General features: G+C 41.8%; 1 protein-coding gene across 8 annotated transcripts in view, besides 5 other annotated features; it reads right to left on the minus strand.

The window, feature by feature from the left end:
- The window catches only part of FHIT (fragile histidine triad diadenosine triphosphatase), a 1,504,176-nt gene extending 1,493,767 nt beyond the window's left edge, over positions 1-10,409 (minus strand). For all 8 annotated transcript variants that reach the window (NR_148921.2, NR_148922.2, NM_001354589.2 and 5 more), the window contains exon 1: positions 10,258-10,409. The gene's annotated coding sequence lies outside the window, so the exon portion shown is untranslated. The remainder of the gene's footprint in view (positions 1-10,257) is intronic.
- Positions 8,998-9,277: an enhancer, noted in NCBI's record as "active region_20024". NCBI's record gives its function as "activates an Ori minimal core promoter by ATAC-STARR-seq in GM12878 lymphoblastoid cells {active_cell/tissue: GM12878}" and the evidence as "EXISTENCE:reporter gene assay evidence [ECO:0000049][PMID:35858748]".
- Positions 9,558-9,687: an enhancer, noted in NCBI's record as "active region_20025". NCBI's record gives its function as "activates an Ori minimal core promoter by ATAC-STARR-seq in GM12878 lymphoblastoid cells {active_cell/tissue: GM12878}" and the evidence as "EXISTENCE:reporter gene assay evidence [ECO:0000049][PMID:35858748]".
- Positions 9,828-9,957: an enhancer, noted in NCBI's record as "active region_20026". NCBI's record gives its function as "activates an Ori minimal core promoter by ATAC-STARR-seq in GM12878 lymphoblastoid cells {active_cell/tissue: GM12878}" and the evidence as "EXISTENCE:reporter gene assay evidence [ECO:0000049][PMID:35858748]".
- Positions 10,088-10,147: an enhancer, noted in NCBI's record as "active region_20027". NCBI's record gives its function as "activates an Ori minimal core promoter by ATAC-STARR-seq in GM12878 lymphoblastoid cells {active_cell/tissue: GM12878}" and the evidence as "EXISTENCE:reporter gene assay evidence [ECO:0000049][PMID:35858748]".
- Positions 10,212-10,506: an enhancer, noted in NCBI's record as "tiled region #9847; HepG2 Activating DNase matched - State 1:Tss, and K562 Activating non-DNase unmatched - State 1:Tss". NCBI's record gives its function as "activates a minimal TATA promoter and a strong SV40 promoter by Sharpr-MPRA in HepG2 and K562 cells {active_cell/tissue: HepG2 | K562}" and the evidence as "EXISTENCE:reporter gene assay evidence [ECO:0000049][PMID:27701403]".

The following is a 10,511-nucleotide window of genomic DNA, read 5'->3' on the forward strand; positions in this document are numbered from 1 at the left end:
ACAGGCAGAGACTAATTTTACTTACACAAGTGGCTGTAAAACAAAATATTCCCCTCTCTCTCCACCCCACCATTTTTTGTTGTTCTACCTCTCCCACACTCTCTGCATTTGTTTTACCTCCCTCTTGCCTCTCCTGCTCTCCCTTGGATTTCTTGCCAGGGTCATTCCTAGAAGAGATTGAACTGGAATCGCTAGTGCTCCAGGACTGAAACAATCTTACTCTAAGCAGGTTCCAACCCTTCCCTCCACCTGTCCTCAGGGCTCCAAACGCATAGGTAAACTTGTGCTTCTGGGCACAGCTTAAACATCTACTGACAAAACCAAGCAGGTACCGTCCTTCAGTTAATGTGGAGTCCAAAGGCAGCAGTGAGTTTTGTGTTTTGCTTTGTTTTTTCAAAACTAAGATGTGGGAAGAAGACTTCTCAGAAAATAAAAATCTTGTTCTTACCACATTCCACAGACTTCAGTGATTAAATGACTGTAGATTGTATGCTCCTCCAGCCTGGTCTAACTAAAATATTCATGCATTAAACCTTGTGAGGGAGTACTGATACTTCAACATTATCTATGATGGTTTCTAACTCCAGTAGCTGTGAGTCTGAGAAACTGCAAAATATACTGAATTTTAATAGGATTCTGATTGTTAAGAAAAAGAGGTAAATCCATAACAAAGAACACTAATAAACACTTAAAAAGACTCAGCAAGAGTCTTTAAGTTACAGAATCCTGAAAATGTGTATCTTTTGTGAACTTCTCAAGCAGTTTCTCAATTTTCTCTTCTATTCCCACTTATTCATCATTAAAAGAAAACACTGGCATACAAACAAAATACCCCTAAAATAAGTGATTTTTAACTGCAGTTAACACTCTGGCAAAAACACTCTTTTTCCCACCCTTTCTCTTTTTCTCTGTATGGAGTGAACAGACCAGAAAAGTAAGGCCACTACATTGTGAAATAACCTCCTGGTGGGCAGAAAGGTTCAGGAAATGCTGAAAAATGAAATTACGGTGCTGGGTAATATATATTCAAACCAAGAATGTTCCTGGACCGTTGATATAAGGGTTTAAATATAAATATAAATACTCAAATATAACTGTATGCATTTTCTATGAGTCAGAAAAACAACTTTCCAAAGGAAAGGGTCTGAAAGGGGATCAGAATATGCTACCCCAAAATATGCCACTTTGGCATAAGGGTTATTTGAGTTGAAGGCAATTAAGAACAGCAGATTCAGAAAAAACAACAACAAAAAAAAAAACACCTCTGCCCTCCTCCATCTAGCTAAAAGCAGGGCACAGATTTTCCTTTGTAAAGGTGACATATTTTCTATAAATAAAGGTTTTCCCCTTTCCCTACCAGAGAGACTTCTTACCTGCATAAACAAACCTTACTAAACAACCTTCATTTACCATACATTTTCCTAGTCATTTTTTCACAGTTTATCCCCCTACCCCAGAAGCCCAAATCCCCTTGTCCTTTTGTAACCACCCAACAGGTTCATTTTGCCTGCTGCCCAGATGGTTTATCCAGAGAGAGGAATTGCAACAGAGAAAGAATTTAATTCATGCAGAGCCGGCTGAACAGGAGACCAGAGTTTTATTATTACTGAGATCAGTCTCCCTGGAACATTTCAGAGACTGGGATTTTTTAAGGATAATTTGGTGGGTAGCGGGCCAGGCAGTGGGGAGTGCTGATCGGTCGAATTGGAGATGAAATCACAGGGAGTCAAAGCTGTCCTCCTGTGCTGAGTCAGTTCCTGCATGGAGGCACAAGACCAAATGAGCCAGTTTATCAACCTGGGTGGTGCTATCTGATCCATCTAGTGCAAGGTTGGAAAAATATCTCCAGCACCAACCTTAGGTTTTGATGTTATCCCTAGGAGCAACTGGGGAGGTTTAGAATCTTGTGGCCTCTAGTTGCATGACTCCTAAACCATAATTTCTAAACTTGTGGCTAATTTGTTAGTCCTAGGGGGTTTGGGAAAGGGTTGTTATCATCTTTGTTCCAAAGTTACACTATAAACTAAGATCCTCCCAAAGTTAGTCTGGCCTACGCACAGGAATGAACGAGGACAGCTTGGAGGTTAGAGGCAAGTTAGATGCGGTTAGGTCAGATCTCTTTCACCGTCATAATTTTTGCAAAGGAGGTTTCACTTTGTCTAGTTTCTTCTCCACATAATATATAAGCCCCCAGACCTAACCACCTCTTTAGGGTCTTCACTTCTTTTCTATGAAGGCCTCTGTATGCATATGTAATAAATGATTTCTCCTCTTAATCTGTCTTTTGTCAGTTTACTTTTCAGTGCCCCAGGAGCAGAACCTAAGAAAGTAGAGAAAGGATTGTTTTTCTTTTTTCCTCCCTCACAATCACCACATATATGGATTATCAAGAAAATTAAAGGTATGTAATCAAATTAGCTTAATTATTCTTCTGCTTTGACAGAGGATGGGGGTAGGAAGAAAACTTTATAATAGGCAGCCTTTCTAGAAGTGGTTCATTTCAATGGTTCATTTCAAGCTACTCAATTAGAATGTAAGAATATTACCAGTAAAAATGAGTGGTATTTTATCTGAACAACTGTTTAAACCCTTTCAATAACACTGCCATAGATCATGAAAGCATGTCACTGAGTTTCTTTGGAACACAGTTTTAATGGGATTATAGCCCCCCACTCCACCCCCAGCTATGAGGAATGAGGCAAACTAAGTACAGGACGAGAAACACAACCTGAAATTCAATATAAGGAAAACCCTTAGACAAGCACAGCAAGAGATACAAGGAGGGTAGGGGAGAAAGAGTGTCCCTGGTAGTTAATCTCAAAGATAACTAGTGCAAAATTTATAGTTAGTTCATCAAATTCCATGACAGCTTTGTGATGACGCTTTTCTTTCATTCCCAAAGCCTTCAAAATGCTACTTTCTAGATATTTCATTCCCCACTCAGACCTTTTACCTATTGGATTATACCTGATTCATTCCACGATGCTGTGTTATTAGAATCAGTGGTTTTCAATGTTAAATGCACTTTAGAATCAGCTGCGAATCATTCCACAATGCTGTGTTATTAGAATCAGTGGTTTTCAATCTTAGATGCACTTTAGAATCAGCTGGGAAATGTAAAAAATAAACAAACAAAAGAAATCACACAAACAAAAAAAACACCTGCTCCCCTCCCCACTCTTTCGGTTATCTGGATGGGACCAGCCCCAGGTGATTCTAACTTACAGCCAAGCCTGAGAGCCACTAGTTGGAAAGCAATCCAAACAAATTAAAATTACATAATGAAGGAATAAACTTACATTAGGAGGCCAGGTACCTCGAATTCCCATCCTAATAATCAGATATAATGTGTTAATTTAAGGATCCCAGATTTTGTCCATCAAATTTAGAAAGACTCAATTGCATGGGATGAAATATATCTATTTGCCCATGATGGGGTTCAGGACATACTACCCTGAAATATTGTAAGCTGAATGAATTTGAGAAGACAGCAGAAGCCAGAAGGTCAGAGGTCACTCTCTGACCTTCCTTCTGCCCTCTCTGAAGCAGGTCATAAAACCTAGGAAGAATTATCTGGCCTTCTCCTGAAGCAGGTCTAAGACCCTCCTGTGAAAGGTTTCTCACTTCCCATACCTGGAATGAAAGAACATCCTTATCTCTGAAAACAAAGGGTTACAGAGAATCTGAACAAACAGGTCTTGCTATGTTTCCTCCCATTGTTAGCTCATGTTTTCTTATTCAATCATACTTCTACACAACTATGTACTTCTTCATCAAATCTAGCATAAAAAATACACAGGTTTACCAGTTTTGGGGGTCTTCATTCCATTATGAAGAATCCTGTGTCACATAAAACTTACGTTAAATAAATCTGTGTGCTTTTCTCTCGTTAATCTGTCTTTTGTTACAGGGGAGTCAACCAAGAACCTGAGGGTGAGGAAAAGATACTTCTCCTCCCCGACCCCATAATACGCCAACTTTTACAGAGGATTGAAGAAATTCCAAACATCATATCATAGAGGTAAGCAAAAACAGTAGAATTAAAGGTTATCTAAGTCCTCTTAGTATTCAAAATATGATAAACAAGGAAACAGAGCAGGATGCATCAACTTGTGTTTTTTATTGACAATGATAAGAATAAAATCATTAGCTACCATTTATGGAGTACCAGTTACTGTGTTAAGCATTTCAATGGGTTACCTCACTGAAAACTAAAAACATCCCTCTGCAATAGAAATTATCGCCCCCATTTCACAAATCAGGAAATTGAGGCTCAGAGAGATTTGGACACTTTCCCCAGAGTCACACACATAGAAAGTAGCAGAACCAAGATTAAAGTCCAGGTCTTTTGCTCTATCGAGTCCATTCTCTTAACTACATCATCTGTCACCTAGACCACTGAAGAGTATCCTAAGTACTTGCTACTCAAAGGACGATCCATGGACCAGCAGCATCAGTCTGTTAGAAATACTGACTCTCTGATCCTTTCCAGGTCTTTAATTTAATCAGAATCTGCATTTTAAGATCAGCAGGAGACTTGTATGCACATTAAAATTAAAGAAGCACAAACATACATGCTTATCCCACATCAACTATTACCTCAGATAAATTCATTATCCATAATGCATCCATACTTTTTAAAACCTGATTTACTTGACAAATAAAAATTGTATATGTTTATGGTATACAACATGATGTTTTGAAATATGTATCCCATGTGGAATGGCTACATCAAGCTAATTAATATGCACTACCTCAAATACGTATTTATTTGTGGTGAGAATGTCAGAGGTGTTTGAACCAGAGCAACTCCATCTTCAATAGGGGCTGAGTAAAATAAGGCTGAGATCTACTAGGCTGCATTCCCAGGAGGTTAAGGCATTCTTAGTCACAAGATAAGATAGAAGGTTGGCACAAGATATGGGTAATAAAGACCTTGCTGATAAAACAGGTTGCAGTAGAGAAGTTGGCTAAAACCCCCCAAAACCAAAATGGCCACAAGAGTGACCTCTGGTCGTCCTCACTGCTATACTCCCTCCAGCGCCATGACAGTTTAAAAATGCCATGGCAATGTCAGAAAGTTACCCTATATGGTCTAAAAAGAGGAGTCACGAATAATCCATGCCTTGTTTAGCATATCATCAAGAAATAACCATAAAAATGAGAAACCAGCCACCCTCAGGACTGCTCCGTCTATGGAGTAGCCATCCTTTTATTCCTTTACTTTCTTAATAAACTTGCTTTCACTTTACTCTGTGGACTTGCCCTGAATTCTTTCTTGCATAAGACCCAAGAACCCTCTCTTGGGGTCTGGATCAAGACCCCTTTCTGGGAACAAGAACACTTAAAGTCTACACTCTAAGTAATCTTCAATAATACAATACATAGCTATACATCCATACTTTTATGAAAACAAATCCAACAATTTCATTTCCCCATTTAAGGCCATTAAACAATTTCCCAAATGCCCTCGGAATAAGGTCGAAATGCAGGTAACCGGACTCTGCATAGTATTACTCAGGCTCACCATTCTCAGCAAACTAACACAGGAACAGAAAAGCAAACACCACACGTTCTCACTCATAAGTGGGAGTTGAACAATGAGAACGCATGGACACAGGGAGGGGAACATCACACACCGGGGCCTGTTGTGGGGTAGAGGGGGAAGGGGAGGGAGAGCATTAGGACAAATACCTAATGCATGCAGGGCTTAAAACCTAGATGACAGATTGACAGGTGCAGCAAACCACCACGGCACATGTATACCTATTAACAAACCTGTACATTCTGTACATGTATCCCAGAACTTAAAGTAAAATTTTAAAAAAATTTAAAAAAAGAAAAACATATCTATTACTCAGGCTCACCTCTGCAGCCTTATTCTCTCCACCTCCTCCAGCCATTGATTTTCATACCCTAAGCACACAGACCTTCTTTCTGCTCATCAAATCCCAACATCCCCTCCCTCCCTCCCTCCTGTCCTCCATTGTACTAGGTTCTTCCCTGCCGAGAATATACCCTCACTCACCCCATCAGTGCCTCCCTACCAGCCCCATTTACTGCTCTCACCAGAGCAGATGCAGTGCCTGGAACAGAGCTAGGAGCAAGATAAATGTGCTGAATAAAAATATGTTTAGGATACTGAGGGCCTCCGCTGTTTCCTTTGTCCTTCTCCTCTGCTGTTGCTGTGATCCTCATTCCTGTTGCTCCTTCCCTGTTCCCTGCATCACTTCTTTTCAGTAACTCACCTCCTTATCGTAACCTCATGGCTATTGAAGTTGTCAGCTTTAGAAAGAAGCACTGCCACATCCCCACGGTCATTGCCCCAGGATTACTCACCAGCTGGATGACAACTGCCTCACTCTAACCCTGAGCCTCCTGGGATAGGACCAATCCTTTCTAGAGATGGACAGAAGGCCCCACTGACAGAAACAGGCTGCTTTTAAATCAAGGATTTAATATATAGGTGGAACCATAGATCAGGGGCCTCTCAGCAGGCAGTACCGAGCCAAAAGCTTCACTGTCTCTCTGCCCACACAAGAGAGTGTCACTGTGCTGACAAGACAGGTTATCAAGAGTTGTGAGGAACTTCATATTTTAAATGTGATGACCAAGTGTGCTACTCTAAGAAAACAAGTGGCAAACAAATCCTTTTATAATATAAATACCTGCTTAAAGTTTTAAATCTTGAGGAAATGTGAATTTTCATATATCAGGCTTACAATAACAAAAATAAGAGCTATTATATTTATCTATTGACTGCAAGCTGTTAAGAGCCTGACAACATGCTCAAAGCTTTAAACACACTTTCTTCTTCATCATCACTGTGAGGTAGAAATGCTTATTATCCCTATTTTAAGAGAGAAAACCAAGGGCTAAGTAACCTGTCTAAAAGGCACAGCTGGGAATTAAATCATGGGTCCCCAGACAACCCCTCTACTGCTTCTCTGCTATGTCTTACTATATAGATCACTTTCTCATCTGAGAAGTCACAGATATGGACATTCCCAAAGAGACAACCCCTTGGAGAATGATCTCAAAGGCTGAGATTTTTCTCTGCAATGTACATGTTGAAAGCAAAGTAACCTCCTACATCTTATATTTCAAAGCTGCACTTCTGCATTAAAAGAGTAAACAGATTCAATGAAGAGATGTGGGAACAGGGTGCTTATGAATGCAATGCCACAAGTACTTTTTCAGTGTCTACTGGTGGTCAGGCACTGTGGTGGAAGCTGAATGATCAGACTATCAGTTGGGAGAGCGTGGGGGTGGGGGCATGGGGGTGATGAGGAGAACTTCTCAAATAGACTGTTTCAGGAATGTTTAGCCAATAATTCATAAAACTGTTACTTTATTACCTAACTATATGGAAATCATCTTTCAGAAGAGACCAGAGTTACCTGCCTTATTATCTGTGAATACATAATTGAAAGGGCCAATATGTCTTCCAAAATGAAAGTCACAACTTGATAGATTTCTGAGAGTTCATATTAGAGGGTCAGATTTTAACATGTGAATGCAAACATAGTGTCAGAATTTGTTCTCAAGTGTCTGAAAGAACAAAAGAGAAAAGAGTAATGGGAGCCAAAACCAGACTAACTTCCAAAATAGAAACAGAGCATGTTGAAGTTGCATAAACACACAAATAAAGATGGGGACACAAAAACATTTCCTAAAGCATTCTATCAAAGGCTGCAGGAAAAAGGCCAAGACAAGGATACCAAATAGAAAAGCATAAGCCTAAAAAGGTTATCCACACTACTGTGAGGACTCCAGAAACCTGCCTTCTTGCAGAAACGGGATACTTTTGACATGAGGGCATGAGATGAAGATTGCAGACTACTTCGTAACACACTCTCCTCATTTATAAAATAAGAGTTAGATTAGATTATTTATAAGGTCCTTCCAGTCTGAATGCATTAAGTCCTTATCATCTATGTGGTCCTTGCACCTTAAGAGAGATGACCATATAAAGAAGCTCAAAAAACATTTGTTGAATTCATGAAGTATTACAACCTTACCAATAATAAATAAGATAATTTATAACAATTGGTCCTGGTCTGTGGCCTTGAAAGAGCAAATTAGAGGAGAAACCATTATCTAAAGAGCTACACATCTGGTGTTCCTGCTAGCTGACTGCTGGTGGAATGAAAATAACCCTGGACTTGAAAATAAGATGCTTGGTTCTAGTCTAATCTCTGACACAAACCAACTGTGTGACCTTGGGCAAACTGCTTTACCACCTGGGCCAGTTTCCTAATCTCTAAAATAAAGGTATTCTAAAACTATATACATATATATATGGAATCTTTATTATAGGCCAAGAAGTGTTCCAAGATCTTTGCATTAGAATTAAATGATCTCAAAGGTTTTTGCAGCTCAAATGTTTAGTATCTAAGTACAGAGGCAGCATGGTATAATTAAAAGATTCCAAATTCTGTAGCCAGAAAGGTTGGACTCCTCCTCAGCTCTGTAAGGTAAGGTCTTTCTCTAAGCAGAGACTGTTAAGCAGAAGGGCTTACAGTCTCAGTCCTTTTATTCACCAGTGTTTTAACTTGAACAAGTTACTTAACTTTCCTAGCCTTAGTTTTCTAATCTGTAAAGTTGATATAAAAATGGTTCTCACTCTCATATAGCTTTTAAGAGGATTAAATTATAACACATATATTTTATTGAATATATATTATATTGCTAGCTGTGTAATCATGGGCTATCTTCTCAAGTTTTTTCTCATATACAAATGGGAAATGTAGTATTAAAAAGAGATCATGTGAACAGGTTCTAAATGGTCAAGTGTTAGTGGTTTTGGAAGCATGTACGTTAATACTTGGAACACCGTATACAACAATCCCATATCTAACACTTAGAACAGCATATGCAATCAATAACAACACACACACACACACACACACACACACACACACACACACACACACACACACACACAAACCCTAGACTTCTTTCTTTACTAAATATTTCTAGTCCAGGTTGCAGCAGGTGGACACAGGCCGGCAGCCATGAACGCAGGTCCACATGGGAGTTGTAGTTCCGAGTCAAGCGGCTGCTCTACAGAACGGCTAGAAGCGAGACTTCGTCTCCCAGGAGACATCTCGCCGTGCAAAATGGCACGCCACGAGGTGGAGTACCTGCCCGACGAGAAACAAGAGGCGGGACTGCAACTCCCAGAAGCCTCCGCGGCCAAGGCCTCAGGCCGCAGGCTGAAGCCAAGGAGGGAGAGTTCAGGTAGATCCGGCTTAACATCAGGTGCGAGTAGGGACCACCCTTGGTAGTCTGGGCCCGGCCCAGGTCAGAACCTTACTAAAACAACCACTGTGAGTATTTTCTATTGGTCCCAGCACATTTCTGAGAGACCAGAATAATAATAGCAGTAAATCTGCAAGTGGTAAACTTTCACAAGCATAACCTCAATTTAGATTTCGGCTTCAGGCAACATCCTTTGGCCACTTGACCTGGGAGCATTGAGCTCCTTGTTTCCCAGATAAGCGCTGTGAGTGGCTGTTCCAAGGTAACACAGCGAGGGCAGAATGTGAGCCTACAGAGAAATCTGCAGATGCATCTCAAGTTCCACTAACCTGCCTCCTTACCCCCCACCACCACCAACTTGGATATACCTTTAAAATTCCCCCCTTTGACGCTAAAAATAAAAACAACAACCATAAAATAAGTGTAAGAAAGTCCGACCAAGTACCGATGAGTTCTCCCACAACAATAAATTCGATGCCTCTTTGCCTGTTTTTGAAGTAGTAATGTAAAATTATCTCCCAAAATGCTGCCTTCTCTATACTCCGGTTTGCTCCTGTCCTGGGCACGTGTTCAGCAACCCCTTAGGGGAATCCAGAGCTGCGTGTTTAACACAGACCTGTTGGGACGGATTTTCGCTACTTGTCTATGAAACTGACGAACCATCCCAAAACGGCGGGTGCCGACTACACCCCCAGAGCCAAGAGCTGTGGCGTCCCCGGACCCGCTGGCGTGGCCCCGTGCCTCAGTTTCCCCAATGTATAAACACGGTGGAGGAGGAACGGGTTAGGGCTAGGGTCGGTGCTTGGGAATTGGGGGGCCCGAGTCCCCACCCTGAGACCCTCGTGGGGCGGAAGAGTACTCGGGACAGAAGCCCACCGCCCCGTGAGCGGCGCCGGCCCCACTGGGCTCCGGGGTGATGACCTGACGCGCGTGGAAACCCAGACCCGCGCCCCAGAAACAGTATTCCACTTGGGCTTGCCTCCCCGCCCCTACCTTCCAGGATGTTGACAGCTGGGAATGAAAGGCAGAGGGAGGGAGCGCGGGGCCGGAGCGCCGCCTGGGAGTGTGCCCACTGGGTGGCCGCCTGAGGGACCCGGGAACAGAGGGCAAAAAGTCCTGTGACCGGACAGAGCAGAGCGGGGACTGCAATTCCCAGAAGACCCCACGGTAGGGGCGGGACCCAAGATGGCCGCTTGTCTGGGGACAGGAGCGGAGGCCAATACGCGCAGAGCATGCGCCTACGCCGG

Source organism: Homo sapiens, chromosome 3 (genome assembly GCF_000001405.40).
Source record: "Homo sapiens chromosome 3, GRCh38.p14 Primary Assembly".
Taxonomy (NCBI): domain Eukaryota; kingdom Metazoa; phylum Chordata; class Mammalia; order Primates; family Hominidae; genus Homo; species Homo sapiens.